We start from the raw sequence: 23611 nt of genomic DNA on the forward strand, positions 1-23611 counted from the left end.
TTTTAGAATACCCTGGGCATCTCTTTAAAAACTGGACACTAAAGGGCGAGACTTTTTTAAAAAAATGCGTCTAGTTGTCCCATGGCCCTGCAGTTCCCATGAAAATGCCTTTTTTAGCTGAGCTGGTGGAAACCTTTCATTCCCTGTGGTCTGTCTCTGAACGGAAGAGGGAAACTGATGCATTAAACCATGGGTTGATGACACATGGATTTGACTGCAAAACATCCCAGTACCAGCTGGAAGTGCTGCCTGGCTGGCCACATGTGATCCGATGTCAGTTTGGAAAATAGATCAGTAGAACATTGATACCAAAAATAAGGTGAAGTGAATTAAAATGCATAGAGGAAAAAAAATCTAGCTGTACATCCTGGTAGAACAGAAGACCAACTTCCCAAAGGAAGAAAATTGTAATGCAAATACTCTGATTCCACACATTTATGTTTGGACATTCTTATAACTGAAAAGATGGTCTGTGATTTCTGAGAAATATTTATAGCATATCCATAAAAGAACTGCTATTCTTTTTTTGAAAAAAGATATTAAGTTAAAAAGTAAGTTGAACAATCTACATTGATTTCAGCTCGTTTTCTACATACTTATCTGACAGGCATTAAAACTGGCAGATATTTTACTGGGAAAATCTGATTGGTCATTAGTGTTCTGTAGACCAAAGCAGGCAGTAGTAGCTGATTATTTCACCTTTCATACAGTGGAGCTAGTTTAACACAGGCAAAGTGCTAATTACTTTCAGTTATGGACTCCTTATTTATCTTGCCCTCATAAACCTCACTGAAAGTGACCCATATATGGTAAGAGTATGATAGGCTGGATGCAATGATTATTTCAAATAAAAAAATCTAATACTTGGGCAAGAGTCATTGTAGTCTGGTAGGTACACCTCATGATCATAGGATTTGTTTTCTAAATTGTTTTTAAAAGAAATTCTGGCTATAGTCAGCACCTTCTACTCTAGTTTCTTGCCTTCATTTGGTCCTTCTTATGCTAGAAAGCTTATAATTGAAGAGGAAGGAAACAATTTAAAGTAGATTTAAAAACAAAAGATGACAACTGCTATGATTTGTAAAAGATAGATAGATAGATAGATAGATAGATAGATAGATAGATAGATGGATCCAACTGTGTGAATAGCCAGCAATTCCTGAATCCCAGAGCCGGGCACTCCTCCCCATGTGTCAGTCTCATGAATCAAAGTCTTATAGTGTATATTTTATGGATATGCTGTAAATATTTCTCAGAAATCACAGACCATCTTTTCAGTTATAAGAATGTCCAAACTTGGCACGGTGGCTCACTCCTATAATCCCAGCACTTTGGGAGGCCAAGGCGGGCAGATCACAAGGTCAGGAGTTCAAGACCAGCCTGACCAACATGGTGAAACCCCGTCTCTACTAAAAATACAAAAATTATCCAGGCATAGTGGCATGCTCCTGTAGTCCCAGCTACTTGGGAGGCTGAGGCAGGAGAATCACTTGAACCCGGGAGACGGAGGTTGCAGTGAGCCGAGATTACACCACTGCACTCCAGCCTGGGCAACAGAGCGAGACTCCGTATCAAAAAAAAAAAAAAAATTCAAACTTAAATGTGTGGAATAATTGGAATATTTGGATTATAATTTTCTTCCTTTGTGAAGTTGGGCTTCTGTTCTGTGTAATAATATGTGTGTATTTCTTCCAGGTATAAAAAGTTTTTAGATGAAAGCCTATTTTAAAATGTTTAAGAAGAGCACGATAACATTGTTTTTCTTAAAATTTGCTGTATTTTAGTATATACCTGGAAGAAAAAATGTTAAGGGAAATTTTCTAAACCTTTAGCTAGTCATTCAATTTTGTAAATGTCTAAAAAGGAGACTATTTCATATTAAATGGTTTTCTCATATATTTTGAGGATTTTTTAAGTTTACATTCTAAAAAAAGCAATTCTTGTTTTGGAGCCTGTTTCTTGATGCTGTGATATTTAAAAATGGACCGTGGTTAAGTGCATTATATTTTTCTATAGGAACAGCATTATAATCAGAAGCTGTCAAAGGCTTTAACACCAAATAAATCTTTGCAAGGACCAACAGCATATTTTACAGCAATAATATAGCCCAACTTCCCTAAAATAGTGATATACACTCAAAATCCTGTAACTTTTATATAAATGCATTGACTCATTTATTATGCAGGAGACTTTACTGTATGTAAAAATGTAGAAACCCCCAAGCCAGCATGTTATATTCAAAATTTGACCTCAAATCAAAGTGCTGAACTATAAGAAACACTAATATGTAATTAACATAAGCCATGGTCTTTGTGTTTGGACTGCTCGCTGTTTCAAATACATTATATTCACCTACAGACTCCTTCCCATTTCTCTGTCCCAAATACAGAGGGACAGAGCTGCCACTTCTATTTACTGTCTTCCTTTCAATATTTATTGTTTTTAAAGAGCCTAAGAGTTTTTAAAATACCTGTCTTCCTTAAAGAGTATAAAATATCATCAGTCTCCTTTGTTGCTAAGGAGAATATACAAAGGGGCCAGTATTTTTGATACATCTTAATTTATATTGGAGAGTTTATGATTGATACTTGTGAGTATAAAGTAGTTATGAATCGACTGGGAATAAGATTTTCTGGGCTTTGTTTTTTTGTTGTTGTTTGTTTGTTTTGATGTTGAAAGGATGGACTCAAAGTCTAGAATTCTTAAAAGAAGCCCTAGCGTTTAAAATTTGATTATATTATATACTTCTAAACATAGTAAGTGCTCCCTATCCCAATCTATAGTTGGTAACTATAGTGTGAAATAGCAGAGAACAGACACCTTGCTGTTTGCCTTTGTTCTCTAAAGCAGCCTCAGCTTCATTTAGGGAGGTTATGTAATAGAAAGCCCAGAAGGTACTTGTTTGAAGATGTTTCTAAGTTTTAGTTTTATTCCTTAGTCTTCAGGGATAAATGTGGGTAAGACAGTAGAGAAAAATTGCATACTTGGAGCATGGGTGGAAAACTGGAGAGAGGAGATGAGTCATTCCTGGGGCAAGTTCCTGCCCACTTCCTCTTCTGGAGACTTTGATTCATGAGCCTGACACGTGGGAGAGGGCCTGGCTCAGGGATTGCTGGCTATTCACACAGTTCTTGACAAACCAAAAAAGTCTCCACATATAAAGTTGCTTTGGGGCCTTCCTATTCATCTGGTGGTTTCTAGTCTCAGTTTAGCTATTTTATGAAGGAGAGGGGGCCCAAGTTGAAAACCAGGTATTAATTTAATATTTGTATTAATGGAAAAATGTGTTAGACCTATACAAGTTAGAGTTCTGTGAACTGCTGCCAGGCTATTCCTTAATTTTCTGCAGATTATTGATTATTCCTTAAATTTTTGAAAGTTTTTAATCATATGTGCAGTCCCATTTTCCTCCAAATTTGAACAATGCCATCAACTTCAGCTTAGATCACAAGAGAGGTGTGTGTCTTTAGCCTTCACTTTGAGCAGTAAGGATCATCTAGGTGACCCATGACATGTTTTGGAGACTTTGGAGGTGAGTTTGCAATAGATGCTGATTTCTGTGGGGAAGTAAGTTAATTTCTACATCGGTGATTGTGCTATTCTATTTTTGTTTTGGTTTTTTTTTGGCGGGGAGGGGGCGGTGTTTTTTTAGCAGTAGAGTAAGTTCAGACAGTCAAGTTTTTGTTATTAGGGCATCTCCAGGAGAATACTCTCTCCTTATTGGTTTTTGAAAAGGAGCCTTAGCACGGTACTACACAGGGATGTGTCCCTGGGGTGGGAAAGGGGAGTTACTTTTGGATTATGATGGATCTCTTCACTTTTTGGTGATCTGCCAACCACCACTGCCCTGACTGTTTGGGTGGATGTGGACCTTGGATACATGTCATGCATGTTTTCTTTTTTTCTTTTTTCTTTTTCTTTGAGCAACATGGCTGTTTATTTCACCTGGGTACAGGCAGGCTGAGTCTGAAAAGAGAGTCAGCAAAGGGTGGTGGGATTATCATTAGTTCTTATAGGTTTTGGGATAGGTGGTGGAGTTAAGAGCAATGTTTTGGGGGCAGGGGGCAGATCTCACAAAGAACCTTCTTAAGGGTGGGGGAGATAACAAAGTACATTGATCAGTTAGGTTGGGGCAGAAATAAATCACAATGGTGGAATGTCATCAGTTAAGGCTATTTTCACTTTTTTTGTGGATCTTCAGTTGCTTCAGGCCATCTGGATATATACGTGCTGGTCACTGGGGATACGATGGCTTAGCTTGGGCTCAGAGGCTTGACATTCCTGTCTTCTTATATTGATAAGAAAAATAAAATAGTGGTAAAGCGTTGGGACGGCGAAAATTTTGGGGGGTGGTATGGAGAGAGAATGAGCAATGTTTTTCAGGGCTGCTTCAAGCGGGATTGGGGCAGTGTGGGAACCTACAGTGGGAGAGATTCAACTGAAGAAAGATTTTGGGATAAGGGGTGATATTGTGGGGTTGTTAGAAGGAGCATTTGTCATATAGAATTACTGGTGATAGCCTGGATGGCATGTTTTCTTTTTCCTGATAATTTATAATTAGAAGCATTGGATTTTGAAGCTTTAAAGCTTCAGGCAAGTTATATGATGTATCATTATTTCAGTCAAACTGTTTTTATCCTGAAGAACCCTCCCCTAGCAAACCACAGTTCAGACACCACAGGAAGGTATTGTGGTCCTGTCTTTTGAATTGACTGGATATGGGTCTTGATCCAAAGTTTTACACTGATCAAAAATACAGCCTGAATGGTAAAAGCCATCATTTGTAACCATGAATAACTATCAATACATGCTCACTTTTAGAAGTTTATTGCTAATTAAGAACTGACTGCATTTTGTGTAATTTGTCCCTTTTTGCACCAGAATGCAGTAAGTATGACCTGTTTGCAGTGCTGGTCTGTTGCATGCTCTTGTGTTAATAGCTTCTCTAGCTGTGTGAGTTTTGCAGTAAGTGGTTGTTGAATAACCATGTGGATATAAAATACAGAATCCATACAGGAATTTTTAAAGGTTATGGGCAAATTTAATTTAGTTGTAACTTAATCCTTAAATTGTTTTGTAATTGTGAAGCTTTGCCTCTGGTTTCTAATCTGCTTGTGTGTATTTCATGGTCCTGTTTTAGAAGTGTACTTTGAGCTGTTCATAGCTACACAATGTGTCTGAGGACACTAGTGCTTTCCTTTCCTTCTCATTATTTGCTGTTTGATGATTTAGCATAATAGGGTTGAAATAGCTCCATGGGCACAGACTTGCCAGATAACACATTTGTTCCATGAGACTGTTGTCTAAAAAAAAAGTCAAAGATCTGCTCTTATAAGTTATTAATGTTTTACTTTTACTTATAGGTTTTATTTATAGTTGCATCATATAGGGACATACTTTAGCAAAGCAATTGAGACTTTCTGATATATGGAATGCCTTTATGCTGAGTATAATAATAATAAGGCATCTATACTAGACCAACTTCAGTTTCTAATTGAAATTGTTAGCTCTGCGAATTTGAGCACAGGGTTTTAAAAAATTTGTGTGAAAATGAGGACTGAGGAGTGCCCTTTGTATCTGACTATATTTGTCAAAATTATTGAAAATAAATGTTTGCCTTTTAGTAAGACTCTTCAAGACATAAAACAAACAAACTTTTATCCTTAACTAAGTTTAGCATTAACAAGATAAGTCACTGACAATATATTCACATGTGTTATTTATGAGTTTGAGTTTAAAATTTCCTCTGATCACTGCATCACTGGTGATTAGAAATTCCTAGCTGACTTCCAGGAAAGAATGTAGTTAGATGCTGCAGCATAAGTATCATTTTTAAGTTTTCCTAAGTAAGACCAAAGTTGATTTTTAAAGATCAACTTTCAGAAGACTCTGTGACTTTTTCACTTCTATCATGTATGGAGGGATTTGAAGGCCAGTGGCTCTGCCTGTTCACAAGGAGCAGTGAGCTTTGGCTGCACCATTACATGTGGGCTCTCCTTCCTCATTAGACCAGGACTGGCCACCATTGTGGGAGAAGAGTCCAGTTTACCAGTGGTGGAGTCATACTATCCCTCGCTCCCACTGCCACCATCTTTGGGCGATAAAGAAAAATAGAGGTGAAAACAAGTTTTAGTGTCAGATCTACTTCTTCCTGGACGATGTGGTTCTTGATAAATTTATTCATTTGGTGCTCTCAGGATGTACAGCAATACATTAAGCCCTGCAGATTGTTCAGAAATGATTTAGGCATAAAGCTTCTGTCAACAAATTCATAAGAGATTAATATGAAGGAGAGGCTGCTGAGACTTCTAAGAGTGATCAAGGGTATGGGCCTTCTACAGAGAGAGAGATTGTTTCTTGTCAGGGAGATGCTTTAATCTTTGGGTCTCCATTTGGTAGGAACTTCATTTGTTCATACAGTCAGCCAATACATATTGAGAACTTGCTAGGTGTGAGGTGCTGTGTAAGGGGTAGGAATACAGTGAACAAGAGAGCATGGTCAGCCCTCACCCATAAGAATGTACAGTCTAGTGAGGCAGATGTATATGAAACTAATCTGTACATGTGTATACTTACACATACACACATGTTCGTATAACATGATTTACAAAAAGGGTTAGGATGCAAGAGTCAGAGTGAGGGATCTGTCCCTGGATGGGGACAATAAGGGGTCAGTTCAGGGGGACTTCCTTGAGCTCTGAAGTTTCACCTGAGAATGGGAGATTCAGAACTTGGTGACAGAGATTGTGGAGCTCACTGTGTCTTTGCTGATCCTTCAGCAAAGGAAGTGAGATTGTTTCTAGCTTTTCTGTTTGGGGTGCTTCTCTGTCAACTAAAAGTCTTCATCCTTCAAATATTGCATCATTTGTGTATACTTCATTCATTCACTTACTCATGACCCACTCCTCGAGTGCCTGCAATGGGCAAGCGTCTGTCCTAGGAGCCGTGTGCTGGGCCACAGTTAAATCTGAGAGATCATGTGTGGCATTTCTCATGGATTGAGATGTCTGAGTGTCATTGTTTTGAGAGAGCTAGTGGCATGGTTTATAAAGCTGTTTTTCATTTTCTCCATACAGGACAACAGCTTTGAGCAGTTCATTATTAATTATTGTAACGAAAAGCTGCAACAAATCTTCATTGAACTTACTCTTAAAGAAGAGCAGGAGGAGTATATACGGGAGGTAATGTTGAAATGCTATTTTTAAAAGTGTTGGTCCTTTTTTACTCGTAATATAAATTCTAATTCAGAAGATAGCCTAAACAAGAAGCCATATTCAAAAGGCTACATACTGTATGATTCCATCTGTCATTCTAGAAGAGGCAAAGCTATAGAGACTGATTACCTATAAGAAGCTATAGAGTCAGGGATTGCCAGGAGATAGGAGTTGTGAGAGGGTTGTGGCTGCAAAGAGAATTTTGGGGACTGATAATGGTGGTGGTTGCTTGACATTATACATTTGCCAAAACTTAGAGAACTGTATACCAAAAAAGTCAGCATCACTGTAAGTAGATTTGAAAATATTTTGAGACTTTGTTCAATATCAAAAAGTATTGAGTATTCAAATTTATAGTAAAAATAGGTAACAGTTACTGAGTCCTTACTACATAGCAGGTATTATATTAAGTGCTATGTATAGATTATCTCATTTAATATAATCTTAAAATAACCAGAAGTAGTGTTTGCAGAGTCTTTTCATCATTAATTTAAAAATATATATTTGCTTTTCACCCTTTTATTTTTTAAAATAGCCAGTCTTTTTTCAAGTGTAAAATTAGTTATTTCAAAAAATAAAAAGGAATTGTTATGTTTATATTTTTATTTCCTTTTTTGTTTATTTGCCTTAATATTTTAGTAATGATATTACCTGTTTTCCTTTATTTTCTTAGTATCATTTTAAGCCATTAAGGACACTGAATTCTCTTTTATCTTTCTTTCCATATAGATTTTTCTAATGTGATTGTTATCCCCAGTGGCTTAGTAAAACAACCCATTTACTCAAAAGCTAAATCATAAATATTTCATCTTTATTTTAGAGTACTCATTATGCTTCAGAAATGTTTTATACTTGTCTGGCACCTTTTAGTAACATAAATATTCTAAAAGCACGATTCATTCTTTTCCTGTCTTCTCATCATGAAGAGAATGCCCAAACTTTGATGGGTAACTTAAAACAGTTTATACAGATTGTTTAAAACACTTCTAAGAATATATAGGAAGATTGCTAGCTTGCTGTAATGAATAGAAGACAAATAAATGTTTACATTTATGGACAGAATGTTAAGTAGACACAGAAAGATTACATTTGGCTTTATGGATTTGGCTTTGTAGCCAGTGTTAGAACCAGTGGATAGATTTTCATGTCTTTCCTTATGTTGAAAATACTTTGTGGTAGCGCTGGCCTGTTTTTTTTAACACTTGAAAGAGTTAACTTCCCTACAACACAAGATTGACTCTAAAATTAATTTTTTTCCTTATGATTACAGATTCAGAACAGAAGAATCTAGGCTTTAAATTCTTGGGATCAAGTTCTAACTTATTTCCTTATAAACATTGTAAACATACACAACGTAATATTGACCCAAGGGCCTGTTGAGTAAATATTTGGCCCAGGGCCAGTGAAGTGCATGGGAAATTGCTGCAGATGGGAGAGTGGAATGGAAGGCAGTCTCAGAACAGGTCAAGGGTGTTTGCTTCAATCAGATTATGTCAGTGGTAGGCAGCTGCATTGAGAAAGTTTTGGGAACTGCCTGTGACATTTGCAGTACCCATTCTATAAAGAAAATAAATTCAGAGAGGAAGGGAAATATGATAAGATGGTCAAAGTCTGTTTTATGGATGGTAGTGTCGTGGCTTCATCTTGTGTCATTGGATTTTGTTCTGTTTTGTCTTTTAGGATATAGAATGGACTCACATTGACTACTTCAATAATGCTATCATTTGTGACCTAATAGAAAATGTGAGTACTTAGGTACAGTTTTCTAAAGAATGTTTTAGTCCTATAATTCACCCTTATAAATGTTCTCAGTGCCTCAATGTTAAGCATTAGTATTTTCACTGTTTTTTATATATATATATATATATATATATACACACACACATATATATGTGTATATATATATATATACACGTACACACACACACACACACACACACACACACACATATATATATATGTTAAGGAACTGCAGAGTTCTAGAGATTTTATTGTAGCCCTAAGAGATCATACACAGTTCTTGAACACATACATAGACAGCTGGATGTTTTGATACTTAGCCAGGATCCCCAGTGGCCATATCACAACACCCTTTTATGACCTTCAGACACCAGGCCTTAAAGGTACCAGCCTTTCTTGTATGGTTGGAGCCCAGGTCTATTCCATGACTCCTGGGCATGTGAGTACTGATCAGAGTAGGCTCTGAGCAGCCATCCAGTTTTTTGCCAAATCAAAATATCCATTTCATTCCCAAAACTCTAATGACCTCTTAACATACTATTCACCGGGTATTATATTAAGTTTAAGTGACATAAAGGGACAACCTCTGGAGCTGAATTAAGTGGGACCCCAGAAGTGGCTTAAGTGCAGCTGTAGCATTGATTCAGATCATACATGCAGAGGGCATTGCATGTGTGACTGCAGGTGGCCAGGGACCTGGAATTTTTCGGATGACCCAAGTATGTGCATATGCAAAAAGGCTTAAAGTGTGAAAAATTATTGGATAATTTCGAGTAAGCTTTCTGAGTCCAAGATTTTTGTTTTTAGATCATATTCCGTAGTTTATTGTAAATGAATTAAATGTAGGAAGACTGATTTTGTGTGTGGAAAACAGGAAACTAATTTATGCTTAGGATTACTAATACCTGACTTTGAATAAGTAATTTGAAACAGTGTATAAGCCTTATTATCCTGCAGTCTTTTTAGCAAGACCAGTTTAGTGAGATGAGTGCTGTGTTTCAGGAATACAGTCACATGCTCTGAATGAATATTAAATCATTTTCTACTCATCTTTTACAAAGCTTTTTGGGAAATATGTAATTAGCCAGTATTTTTTTTCCTCAGTATTCAAGATATTCCTAAAAGTTGTTTCTCTGATTAAATTAAACAATATTCTAAGGCATCACTATTTTTCAATAAGAAATAAACTGTGTTTCAAAAAATCTGAACAATATTGAATGGGAACACTAATATTCCACATAAGCAATTCAGATCTCTGATTTTGGCTCTGAAAAGTGAATTTCCTGAAAATTTTCCTGGTACATTTTGTGAAGGAGGTAATTTGCTATGGGAATCTTAATTTTCAGAATTTCTGATTAGTATGTTTTCTTTGATAAATATAACCTTGCATTTAATTATTCTCTTTTAAGAAGAGGAGAAAAAGAACAGTGGTAATACACTTAATTTAACTAGATTATCTCAGCCAAAAATCCCCTTGCTATATGATTGAAGAAGCTCATGTTCACATAGGAACCTGGGTATATAAAGGAAATGTTTCCTTCCAGCATCATTAAACAATAATGTTTGTTCTGGGGATGTTATGAACACACTTGATTCCTGAGAGTCCACGCTTCCCCAGGGTTTTGTGTGGAATGAATAAATGCTGGTCAGAGGATGTCGTGGCCTTGTTAGCAGAAGGGGAGAGGAACAGAGGACTTTGCCTGGGTGGAAGTAGGTGGGGTTGATGGTCAGTGGAGTGGATTGTTTTTGGAATTAAGACTTATGACCCCATAGGGGCAGTCCATGGAGTAGCAGTCTTTATTTAGCAAAGTAGAAGCTTCCTGACTTCTGATTCAGTTTAGGGCTGACTACTCTTGGAATAAAAATGACCACAGGGTCTAGATATGCAACAAATAAATTTTCACTTATGTTTAACATCCATTTAGAAATTCCACATGAATTTCTAAAATCTAAATCTATATGAAACAGATATTCTTGAAATCAGTTTGATTGCAGTGATTGTTAAAAGCAGCATCTCAAATCACAGCATTTTTTTCTAGGAAATAAACTTTATTTTGAACACATGAACAATTTGGAAACATAGAAAACGAGTTTCCTTCTTAGGAGTGAATCAAATAATGGCCTTAGAAGACTGCTTTGTGATTTGAGACATGTTATAGAGGCTGTATTGTCACATTCATTTCTGCTTTTAGATTTCTTTTTGAATCTTTGAGGTCCAACTTGTCTTTTTGTAAGAGTATAAATTTCAGTCATCATCAGGCTAAGGTGTCTGAGGCAACTCCCAGGTACTGTTGTTCTGTGCGAGGAGAGAGGAACCAAGAAGACACACTCTTCCCAACCACACCACCATACACACACCTGGGATCCTTCAGGAAAGAGCTGATTCCTGTGGCTTTTGTTATTGTTTTGAGTCTCTGCTTTTTGTTATAACTGAACAGACTTTTCTTGTGACTAAGTTGATTGTGTTTGATGGTGTAATTAGGAATAATTATTAAAACAATATAGTGAGGAAGGAAGGAAACTTTTTTATTTCCGTTTTCCCAGAACACAAATGGAATCCTGGCCATGCTGGATGAAGAGTGCCTCAGACCTGGCACAGTCACTGATGAGACCTTCTTAGAAAAGCTGAACCAAGTATGTGCCACCCACCAGCATTTTGAGAGCAGGATGAGCAAGTGCTCTCGGTTCCTCAATGACACGTCTCTGCCTCACAGCTGCTTCAGGATCCAGCATTATGCTGGAAAGGTATGGGGGAGCTGTGAGCACCCAGTCAGGCCTGCCAAGTTACCCCTGCAAGGAGGCTGTACCTCAGAGATGGGCGTTCGAAACCCCATTAACTTGTGAGGACAAATTGAGCTGCTAAAGTGGTTGAATCGATAAATGTTCAATAGAAATAGAATCTGGACCATGTTGACTAAAATCTTATTAATACAGAAAATCAAAAGCAAAGCTAATGGACTTAATGAAGAGTCTAAATATATTTTTGAATCATCTTTATTATTTTCAAACTCTAAGCTATCCTATAAAAAATATCTATTAACACTATTGAAGGAGATTTGCCAGTACAAATTAAGAGTCAATAAAGACTTAAGGCTTTAAAAACACAAGCCATTTAGCAAAAATAATGAATTATTTGAGATTTTGAAATGACATTAGGGAAAATATTTACTTTTTTAAAACACTTATTTATTTGGTTAATATTTGGGGGAATTAATTTTATGTCTAATATATAAAGACAATGCTAAAAACAATCTTAATTGATTAATCTTTAGAATCCTGAAAGAATATTGATTAGAGCTAATACTTCCTTTTTCATAAAATTGCAAACTTCAAAGGGAAAAAAACTTCTTGATTATACATTTGTAAAAAGTATATAGTACCTGAATTACCTTTAATTTCAAAATGTTAGAACTTGGTACTTTATTTTTTTTATTAGCGTATATTATTAAAAGATAATTTCTGATCAGCTTTTCTGCTGCTCAGGATATTTATGAAAGTGTTAGTATTGTTTCTATTTTGCCCCATCTACTTTTAAACAGACTAGAATTGGTATGTGAGAACTAAAAAATAAAAGTAAAACCCCAGAATATGTTCAGACTCCTAAAAAATGCAAAATCCTTTGAAAATGTTATGATAACATTTTTGGAGTTTATTCTTGCAAATCCTGAATGGTAATAGAATTTATTTTGATCTTGTCTGTGATTTAGACAGATGGAATTTAAACTTGGAGGCGAACTCATTATGAGAGTGTGACTAACATGTCAGGGATTTTTTGATGGTGAAGGAAGTGGCTGCAATGTAGATAGTCTTGGAGTATTTTTAATAGTTGTTTGACATTATAGCATGCAATGTGCCTGTCATTGAGTTACATGTGCTGCTTATAGGTGCTGTACCAGGTGGAAGGATTCGTTGACAAAAACAATGACCTTCTCTATCGAGACCTGTCCCAAGCCATGTGGAAGGCCAGCCATGCCCTCATCAAGTCTTTGTTCCCCGAAGGGAATCCCGCCAAGATCAACCTGAAAAGGCCTCCTACAGCAGGCTCACAGTTCAAGGCATCCGTGGCCACTCTGATGAAAAACCTACAGACCAAGAACCCAAACTATATTAGGTATTTTTGGCACATGAAACTTTCACAGTTCAAATGTGAGAGCACCCCGAAGGAATATCATTTTTCCCTTTGCTTCAATCTGAGTGTAGCCCAAGCAGAGGGTAACTAAAATACTTACAGATTAAATAATACCTTATCTGGGATTGGCTTAAAAAATGCTCCACTATCCTTTCCCCTAAAATAAGAAAGTAAAAAAGTAAAGTGTGGTGGAGAAGATAGTAGATATTTAATGAAACTCAGTGGTTGAGACCTAGGGGTTTTCAACTTTCTGTATGTTTATTATTATTTTTTTAATGGCAAGTTAAAAAACAAAATGCAAGTGTTTTTTCTGGTCAGTGTTTTGCAGAAAACTCTTGTTGGCTTCATTTGGGATTCTTGTTCTATTAGCTTAGAGCACAGCATTGAAGCAAGTGCTTTAGTTAACTGCTCTGGCACTTCTTAGGAGACATGCACTTTTTTCTTCCCTGTGAGAGGTGTAGGCCTGGAGAAAGTAATGATTCCTAAAGCAATCTGAATTTTTTTCAAGGCAGTAGAAAGACCTTCTTAAAAAGGGCTGGGCGTGGTGGCTCACACCTATAATCCCAACACTTAGGGAGGCGGAGGCAGGTGGATCACCTCAGGTCAGGAATTCGAGACTAGCCTGGCCAACATGGCAAAACCCTGTCTCTACTAAAAATATAAAAATTAGCTGGGCGTGGTGGCAGGAACCTATAATCCCAACTACTTGGGAGGCTGAGGCAGGAGAATCGCTTGGAGGCAGAGGTTGCAGTGAGCCGAGGTCACGCCACTGCACTCCAGCCCGGGTGACAATACAAGACTCCATCTCAAAAAAAAAAAAAAAAGGAAAAAGCCTTCTGGGCTCTTCTCTTTTTCTGCTTCTAGGGCATCTTAGACAGAACTCTCTCTAGATTTAGTAAAGACCAACTAGGATTAGAGTTTGCTATGTGTGTATTTGGTGAGCTAGATAGTAGAAGGTATGTGTCTGGTGGGTCAGATTTCATAGAGCACACCCATACCCACAAGTACCTTCTATAGTTGTCTTTGAAAATGCAGTTATGAGGAAACTAGAGTGAAGAATATTTTTGTGTTTAGTTTGTGTGCCTGATATTTATATTTACAGAAATGTAAGTAGACAAAACCCTCTGGTTTGATTGCAGTCAGATTAGAACATATGTTGGAGAGGATCCTAGTTTAAAAAAAAACCCAAGAAACTTTCTGTGATGAGTTGCTTTTGTTATTCTCAATTGAATGAATTTTTTTTTTGCATCTTAACTCTATTTTATTGAGGTATCATTTATGTGAAGTGATATGCACAGATCTGAAGTGAACAGTTCAATTTTTTTTTAACCATTATATATGCTTTAGTAACCACCACCCAGGTTAAGACGTAAAACATTTCCATTACCCCAGAAAGCTTCTTCATTCCCCTCCTTTTTTTATTTTTACAGCTTTTCTAAGAAATCTTAATTAATAAACCCCAAGGTTGTGAATATATTATCGTATATTTTCTTCTAGAAGCTTTATAGTTTCAGATTTCATATTTAGGTCTGTTTCCCCCCCATGTAGATATCCTGTTGCACTAATACCATATTGAAAACAGTCTTCTTTTCCCATTGATTTGCTTTGTGGCCTTTATTGATAATCTGTTGAATGTATATGTAGGGATCTGAACTTACTAGGCCATTCCATTTATCTATTTGTCCATCTTTATTTAAGCCAAAGAGTAGACATTATTTTTATAAATGGTAAAAGAGAAAGCATAGTAACACTGATGCCAAACTAGCTAAGATGTAGTTGTCCACGTAAGTGTGTAATTTCACAGTTGTAGTTAGGCAGCCATAATCATGAATGTTTAAGTATTAGTTAGGACACAGGGATTGCTGCAGTATGATCCAAAGCTAGCAATGATTTAAGCAAGATTGATGTTTATTTCTTAAGTAACTTCTAAGTATGAGGACTCCAGAGCTGACAGGGCAGCTCCTTCTGTTTTGTGGCTCTGCCGTTTCCTGGGCGTGTTCCTCGTCTGCATGGAGGAAGATGGCTGTCCACCGTGTCAACATTTGCAGCCAGCAGTAAGCTGGAGGAGACGAAGGGGAGTGCCTGTCCCTTCTTCTAAGAACACTGACTAGAGGCTGCAGACATTACTTCCCCTCTGATCCTAGTGGCCAGAAGTTGCTCACCTGGCCACATCTACTTGCAAAGGAGGTTGGGAAATAAAGTTTTTCCCTGGGCAGCAAAGTGCCCTGTTAAGAAAGGAGAACAGATATAGGGAGGAAACAGTGTTTTTTATCTTTTTATTGAGGTATAATACACATACATTAAAGTGCATGGATCTTAACTGTACAGCTTCTTGAAGTTTTACAGATGTATGTACTTGTGTTACCCCATCCAGACCAAGTGGTAAAACATTCCCGTCAGTCCAGAAGATTCCCTTGTGTCCCTTGCATGTTGATCCCCCACTACTACCTCTCCCCAGAGGTAACAGCAATACTGATTTTTAACCATGGGTTAGTTTTGCTTGAACTTGATATAAATGGAATCATAACTACAGCATGTACTCTTGTGTTGGGCTTCTTTTCACTCAATGAAATGTCAGTGATACTTATCCACATTATTGCATTTATTAGTGTGTTCTTTTTAAAATTACTGTGCCTGCAGTATTGTATTTATTTTTAGGTGGTTATAAAATGATTTGAAATAATTTCAAAAGTAATGACTAGGTTTCTTAAGAATAACATAATTGTTTTGCTATGAAACAGTTATATATAATACTTTGTGAAAACATAGACAATTATATCCATAGGAGGCAGTTTATAACCTAAAATCTTTGTGATCTTTAAGGTGTATCAAACCGAATGATAAAAAAGCAGCACACATCTTCAACGAGGCTCTAGTGTGTCATCAGATCAGGTACCTGGGGCTTTTGGAGAACGTCCGAGTGCGGAGGGCAGGCTACGCCTTCAGGCAGGCCTATGAACCTTGCCTAGAAAGATACAAAATGCTTTGTAAACAAACATGGCCTCATTGGAAAGGACCAGCCAGGTAAGAAATTCAGTGACCATATTTAATAATGAATGTTTTAAGTGGTCAAATAATACGGTGTTTTTTCACATGCTGTTAGATAAAACAGAATTTTATGAAAAACTGGATGTAACCTCTGTTTTGGACCTTCTTCCATTAGGATACCATTTTGTGCTAAGGTCAAAATAAGACTTACCAAATCCACATTTGGGACTTGTATGGCAATAATATTAATTTTTAGAATATGCCCAAGGTAGGTTCGTAGGAGGTGGTTTGTAATTTGATACACTTATATTTGTGTAGAATCATAGAAGGGTAGAATTAGAGACAGGTTGGATTACCACTTGTCACTTTTCCCATGAAGAATTTGGCTGCAGAGAGAATCAGTGGATGGGTGAAGGTCCCTCTCTTTGCCTATATCTATACCAGTTAATCAATAGACGATACGAGCAGGTAGGATTCACAGTGTCAGCATTACTGCTAGGAGAGCTGGATTAGAGAACGTAGCTTGGACCCAGGGCCATACAGCTTTCAGCTGGTCTGTCCTGAATTGCATTTACTCATCCAGTCCCAGACAGAGTGCTGGACACCGCAGGCCCAGTGGTGCATCCCCATGTCCTGTGAGCTCTCCACAGGCAGAGAGAACTGTGTACTGACGGGCGGCTGTTGCAGGAGAGAAATCAAGCCTTATTCCTTCTGCCCTCACCAGAGAGGCTGCTCCTCTGCAGGCTGAAGAAGGCTTGCCCCTGAATACTGCTGGAGGGCTGACATGCCTGTTTCATGGGCCTAGGCAGGAAATGGGCGATTTTCATTTAACTGTACTGGTATTGCCTACACATTATTCTCACTGCACCTGGCCTTTCACAGGAACATCAACACACCTAGGACACTTACCTTGTATTATAAGAAGATCTAGAAACTCCAGATGTATGGTGCGGTCTCTGATGCCTAATTTAGTACCCTAATTTAATGTAGGATTTGGGTACTGTTTCAGTTCCCATTGCTAATTTCCGGGGTATTATGGTAAACAGGTACCATAATACAGAATGTGTATTCACTCCCTGCCTGGCATCTAGTCTGCAGGTGGGTGGAGTGAGGTTTAGTTCTAAAGACTGATGTTGAAACCGGGGTCCAGGATGGAGAGGTCAGGGCCAAGTCCAGTTCTTGCTCCCGCTGGGTAAGGCCCACGTTCCTTAGCGTCCCGTTGGTCTGGGACTGTTTCTTGGTCTCTGCTTTTATTCTCAGGGGCAGAAACAATGTTTAAAATATTTTCAGGAATTAACTGAGTGAGTTTAAAATAGATCTGAATTTCTTGCACACCCTCCTGGCCCAGGTTGGTACATCATTATAGGTATTTTTGATACAAGTATTGCCTCTACTAATGAAATCAAGAAATTGGCTTTAATACCACATTTTCTTAGAATACATAGTTATGAACCCAAATTTACTTTTTCAGTGTTTACTGGATTAAGTTTAATTTGTGGAAAATTCTTTGATAAATGGATGATTGCTGAAAGAGCAATTACACTTGGAAATGAAGCTATGTTTTATACCACTGAGAACCTGATACCATGATAGAAGATAAAACTATTTTTGTAACTCAGAAAACTCACTGTTTTTATTTTTATTTTTTTAGGTCTGGTGTGGAGGTCCTATTTAATGAATTAGAAATTCCCGTGGAAGAATACTCCTTTGGTAGATCAAAGATATTCATCCGAAACCCAAGAACAGTATGTAACGAAAACCTTTACACTCTGAACTTAAGTTGGAATCGTATAGGAAAGTTCTTAAAATATGTTTAACTTTATAACATTATATGAGGGGCCACCATGAATGCCACAAAACACTTGTGTGTTTATCTACAAATAATCAAGAGGCAGGGACAGATAAGGGTAAGGGGCGGTAGAAGAATGCGTATTTTTTATGAACCATCAAAGTCTTTGCTCTGACAGATTGTACAACACTTAAGAAATCACAAAGAAACTGTTAGGACAACGGTGCAACATTCATAGCAACTGCAGGTAAACAGTCTGTATTTGTAATACCTGAATTATACATTAATTTTAAGAACTACAGCCCCATTATTTAGAGGTACAGGAAAGCACTAAAATGAAAATTTTTTTTAAGTTAAAAAAAATACTTTTAGCATTCTACCTCATAGAACCCCAAGGAAATTTTTTTGTCAATGAATAGATGAGTGTGAAGTGTAATGAGTATAGCAGGTGACTGGTAATTTGGAAACGTTAAGATTTTGGAAAGTATTTAATTCATTTAAGAGAATTTTCCAGCATCTACCTTCCATTAGTAATTTGCATCCTCATAGACAGTGTGAAGGTAAACTTAAGGTCAATTCAGCCCCTCTCTGATTTGTCATAAATTCTGAATCACTGGAATAAAAATTGTAAGTCTTTCATGAATCCATCAAAATAATTTTCTCATGGACCATTATCCATATCATATATAATGCATATGGTTTTTCAGTTCTTTTTTTCAATGTAATTGACTCCAACATGATGGCATTTTGTCTCCTGAAAATTCCTTTCCTGTATGCTGTGAGGTTTCAGAGGATTTTTGATAAGTCCATCTATCATTTCTTATTAGTTATTCAAATTAGAAGACCTGAGGAAGCAACGCCTGGAGGACTTGGCCACTCTCATTCAGAAGATATATCGGGGGTGGAAATGCCGCACACACTTCCTGCTAATGAAAAAAAGCCAAATTGTGATTGCCGCCTGGTACAGGAGATATGCGGTAAGAGTCTCAGTCATTTTAAATCAGTAATAACAATGCTAATTTGCCAACATTTATTATGTACTTACCATGTATGTGATTTTTACATACTTAATTCTCCCAACAACCTCATGAGATAATGGATGTTCTTAATGGTTCTTTTTTTTAAAGATGAGAAAACTAAGACACAAAGCTGTTAAGTAATTTGCCCACAGCCACATAGCTATAAGTGGTAGAGCTGGGATTTGAATCCAAGACAGTATTAGAGCTCAAGTTCAGTGTGCCATACCGCCTTTCACTGATCTAGCTGTATTTGGTTGGAAATACATTTTTAATTTGGTCATCAGATTGGAAGAGACAATATCCTTTAAGCTTTTGATTTGGTTGGGCTAGTTTTTCAAAGTAATTGGCTATTCTTTGGCTATTCTTTATTGTAGCAGCTTTGAAAGTGGCTTTAATTCCAGAAAGCTAATGCCATGTTTTTGTAGATTTCTGGTTTTGGTTAAAGGATTGCATTCTCTTTAGTCCTTAGGTATCTGGCTCTATTAACTATAGGGAAAGATTCAATAATAAATAATGTTTACCTAGTTAATATGAAATTTCTTTTTGGCATTTCCTTCCTCATTTGATTGTAGAGATTTTGTTGAAGGCATACCACAGGTATGAGAGAAGCCTGAAGGTTTGCCTCAGGGTTAATTGAAACTTGGGCTGTGTTCTCACAAAATGAATTAAGTTTGCACTCACATCTCCTTTCTTATATTCTTCCTCTTTTTCAGCCATAAAGAGACTTTGCTATAGGGCTGTATATAATCAAGACATAATTTACGCTGACCTATTCTCACATAATACATTTTAGTTTATTATTTCCAAGTTTTACAAATTAATGAGGTATTTAATTGATTAAGCTAAAGAAAATCAGCTTGAGAGTATCTTTACAATGGCTCATGCTAGTTAAGATTATAACCAGCAGTATAAGTCTTAAAATATGAGTCTGCCCAGCCATGTGAATGATAGAGTCATTCATATGCATTCTGCAGAGGCACTTTGGACTGTTGTCACCCAGCCTGGTGGCCGTGGAGTCTCCTCTGTACACATAGTACCACTCCTTAACTCTGCTGCAGATTCATAATGCTCCGTTTTCTGTTAGCCTGAGAAAGGGAGGACCAACAAGAGGACCAAAAAGTCCTCAAGGAGCCCTTTTTATAATTTCTTATTTTGAGGTCATTAAGAAAAGTTTACAAGTGTGCTGGATTCATCTGTCTTGAATTCTACAAATATTTTTGAAACACATTAGCAAGGTGGACAAAACAACCTAATTCCTGACTTCCTAAAGTTTATATCTAGTGAAAGACAATACGCATTTAAGCAAACAAATAATCAGAAAAATTATAGACTGTTGTAAGTGCTAGGAAGGAAATAGAGAACTGCCATAAAGAATAATGGGGAGGCGGGATGTGACCTAAGCTAGAGTGGTCAAGGAGAAACTTCGGGGAGGGGCCATTTGATCGGAAGGATGAGAAAGAACAGGCAATGCAAAGGAAGCTCAAGTACTATTTGTACCTTTTCTCCCAATATAAAGCTTTTATATCATCAGATTTTAAAAAGTCACGATTTATCATTAGTTCATGATGTCAGGAGTTATGAGCAATATTAGTTGGTAGAATGAAAACTAATAATAGCCCCAGTTTTAGAGAATGCATTAACTTTGTTCTAATGTTACATCTCTTTCAAAATTTGAACTACATACCTCAACCAGTTCACTACATGTTACTCAAGCCAGTGGTTAAACTCATTATTTTCCCTCAACCAGATAACTCAAAAGATTTCTTGAATGCTCCTTTTTAGTTGCTGATTACTTTTAAGTTATTCCGTATTTTGTAATATTTCATGTTTCCTAGAGATGAATTTTCAAGTGAGATATACTTATTTTCAAGACATTTATTAATTAAAAAGGAAAACACAGAGGTACCAAATGCGTGTCAGAATGATGGTCAGATACTGTAGCTGTTCTACAGCTACATCTGTGGAATATTACTCTGGGGAGAATCCTAGAGATTTTCCACCTCTTCATTTAACAGCTGGGGAAACTGAGGCCCAGAGAAGGTGAGTGGCTTGTCTGAGGTCCCAGGGTCCTCTTGGATTTTCTCCCTGGCATCCTTTTTTGTTCCTCTGCCCATCTATTGATACCATCACCCATTACCTCTGATCTTCCAAGACATAGCCTGGTAGCCTGGGAAGGCATCTCTCCCGCCTCAGAGAAGGGGGGCTGAGCCAGCTGGCACTTCTAACATGAGGGATTCACAATGTGACTTTAGTACTTCGAAATGCTGTGAATTTTCATTAGGGATGCCCCCATGTTTCAGTGTATATTCCAAAGTGAATACTGTAAAAGCTCACTTTTCTAGGGAGTATTCCAGCAGCCTCCACTCCAGGGCGTCAGCCCTAGAAGTAAGAAAGGCCTCTGGGCATTGAGCTTGTTGAGCCAGAGCTGGGAGCCTCACTAGGTCTTCTTTGACCTTCCCCACCTGGAAGTAACCTCTGCTGCCTCTGAGCCTGACTGTTGTGCTTTCTGTGCTGCATCTCTCCCAGGGTACTGTTTATCCTTTATACTGTTGACCTGTGTTCACTTCAACTCCTTGAGGGCAGGGATGCAGTCAGATGCACATTTATATCCTCATGGTCCTATTAAAAGGCTTTATGCATAGTAGAGGCTCAATATATAAATATTTAATTGATTGATAGCAGTTTACTTAAATTTTTAGCTGATTTTCCAGCTTGAGGCAGAGTAAAAGTAGCAAACCTAAAAGAAACTAGGGAGGTTTAGAGGTGGGTCCAGTAAGTAGCATGGTGAGAAATGACACCAAGAAGAGAGAACACTCAAAAGCAGATGCAGAACTCAGTGGGTTTTCATTCAATATGCATTTACTGAGTATCTGCCTTGTGTGGAACCCTGTATTATAACAGCATGAGATGAAGAAAATAATGATAATAATGCTGTGTCCTGAGTCATTTAGGAATTATTTTATTTAGCATCCTTAAAGCATACTTTGGATTAACTGTAATAATATTGGATTGTTTGATATTTTGGTTTCTTTATGTATTGGTTTCCAGAAGGAGTATGGATAATTGAGTCAGTTAGACGAAGTGAGCAAATACCCTTTCTCAATCCTTGTATGCGTTACAGATATTAACTACAACTGCCAATATCTTCCCCTTTTATCCTACAGCAACAAAAGAGGTACCAGCAGACAAAGAGTTCCGCCTTAGTAATTCAGTCTTATATCCGGGGTTGGAAGGTGAGTTTAAAAGAAGTATGCTTTATTTATTTTGGGTTTTCTGGTTTTTCACAAAGGATAATGTCTTTAGGGTCACCCTGCAGAGGAGGGGCTCCTCTGTCTCCTGCCTCGCCTGTAAACAGTCAGATGGAAAGAATAAATATTATGGGCCAAACGGGGACCCTGGTGACCATGTCTTGGCCACTTCCTTCTAACCAGCTTTCTTTTTAAGCGCTTTGTTCTCTAAGCAGGAAGTCCTTGAAATAATACCCGTACATGATTTCAGTATCCCTTTGCCCCGTGTTTTCGAGAAAAGCTGTGGTACAGAAGGCTATCTCACAGCCATTGCTTTCATACTCAGAATCCCTACCCCAGTGACTTCCGTAACTGTCCAGTAACCATCTTGCAGGCTACCCATCACGATTGAAAGATCCTGAGATCTGGCCAGGTCTAGTGGTGGGGACATGGAGGAGCCGTCACAGTGGACAGCCTGGTTCTAGGTCCTTGCTGCCAAGGCTTGGTTCAAGGGTCACTGAACTACAGGCCACAGGCTACAGCTAGCCTGCTTGCGTGTTCTCATACAACCTGCAAGCTAAGAATGGTTTTTATATTTTTAACCGTTGTTTTTAAAAAAGCAAAAGAAGATGATTTCTTTTTTTTTTTTTTTTTTTTTTTTTTTTTGTAGGTGGGATGTATTTTTTTTATTTTTTATTTTATTTTATTTATTTTTTTTTAATTGACCATTCTTGGGTGTTTCTCGCAGAGGGGGATTTGGCAGGGTCATAGGACAATAGTGGAGGGAAGGTCAGCAGATAAACAAGTGAACAAAGGTCTCTGGTTTTCCTAGGCAGAGGACCCTGCGGCCTTCCGCAGTGTTTGTGTCCCTGGGTACTTAAGATTAGGGAGTGGTGATGACTCTTAACGAGCATGCTGACTTCAAGCATCTGTTTAACAAAGCACATCTTGCACCGCCCTTAATCCATTTAACCCTGAGTGGACACAGCACACGTTTCAGAGAGCACAGGGTTAGGGATAAGGTCACAGATCAACAGGATCCCAAGGCAGAAGAATTTTTCTTAGTACAGAACAAAATGAAAAGTCTCCCATGTCTACTTCTATCCACACAGACCCGGCAACCATCCGATTTCTCAATTTTTTCCCCACCCTTCCCGCCTTTCTATTCCACAAAACCGCCATTGTCATCATGGCCCATCCCCAATGAGCCGCTGGGCACACCTCCCAGACGGGGTCGTGGCCGGGCAGAGGGGCTCCTCACTTCCCAGTAGGGGCGGCCGGGCAGAAGCGCCCCTCACCTCCCGGATGGGGCGTCTGGCCGGGCGGGGGGCTGACCACCCCACCACCCTCCCAGACGGGGCGGCTGGCCAGGCAGAGGGGCTCCTCACTTCCCAGTAGGGGCGGCCGGGCAGAGGCGCCCCTCACCTCCCGGACAGGGCGGCTGGCCGGGCGGGCCGACCCCCCCACCTCCCTCCCGGACGGGGCGGCTGGCCGGGCAGAGGGGT

At 38.2% G+C, this 23611-nt stretch overlaps 1 protein-coding gene across 14 annotated transcripts in view, besides 1 other annotated feature; it reads left to right on the forward strand.

Moving 5' to 3' along the window:
• Window positions 1-23611, forward strand: part of MYO1B (myosin IB) — a 179983-nt gene that overhangs the window by 128982 nt on the left and 27390 nt on the right. For all 14 annotated transcript variants that reach the window (XM_047444410.1, XM_047444412.1, XM_024452914.2 and 11 more), the window contains 8 exons: window positions 7077-7181; window positions 8895-8957; window positions 11499-11699; window positions 12839-13065; window positions 15907-16107; window positions 17723-17816; window positions 18688-18837; window positions 22044-22112. In XM_047444410.1, coding sequence (XP_047300366.1) covers window positions 7077-7181; window positions 8895-8957; window positions 11499-11699; window positions 12839-13065; window positions 15907-16107; window positions 17723-17816; window positions 18688-18837; window positions 22044-22112 — 1110 coding nt within the window. The remainder of the gene's footprint in view (window positions 1-7076; window positions 7182-8894; window positions 8958-11498; window positions 11700-12838; window positions 13066-15906; window positions 16108-17722; window positions 17817-18687; window positions 18838-22043; window positions 22113-23611) is intronic.
• Window positions 2898-3192: an enhancer, noted in NCBI's record as "tiled region #10229; HepG2 Activating DNase matched - State 5:Enh, and K562 Activating DNase unmatched - State 9:DNaseU". NCBI's record gives its function as "activates a minimal TATA promoter and a strong SV40 promoter by Sharpr-MPRA in HepG2 and K562 cells {active_cell/tissue: HepG2 | K562}" and the evidence as "EXISTENCE:reporter gene assay evidence [ECO:0000049][PMID:27701403]".

This window comes from Homo sapiens, chromosome 2, assembly GCF_000001405.40.
Source record: "Homo sapiens chromosome 2, GRCh38.p14 Primary Assembly".
NCBI lineage: Eukaryota > Metazoa > Chordata > Mammalia > Primates > Hominidae > Homo > Homo sapiens.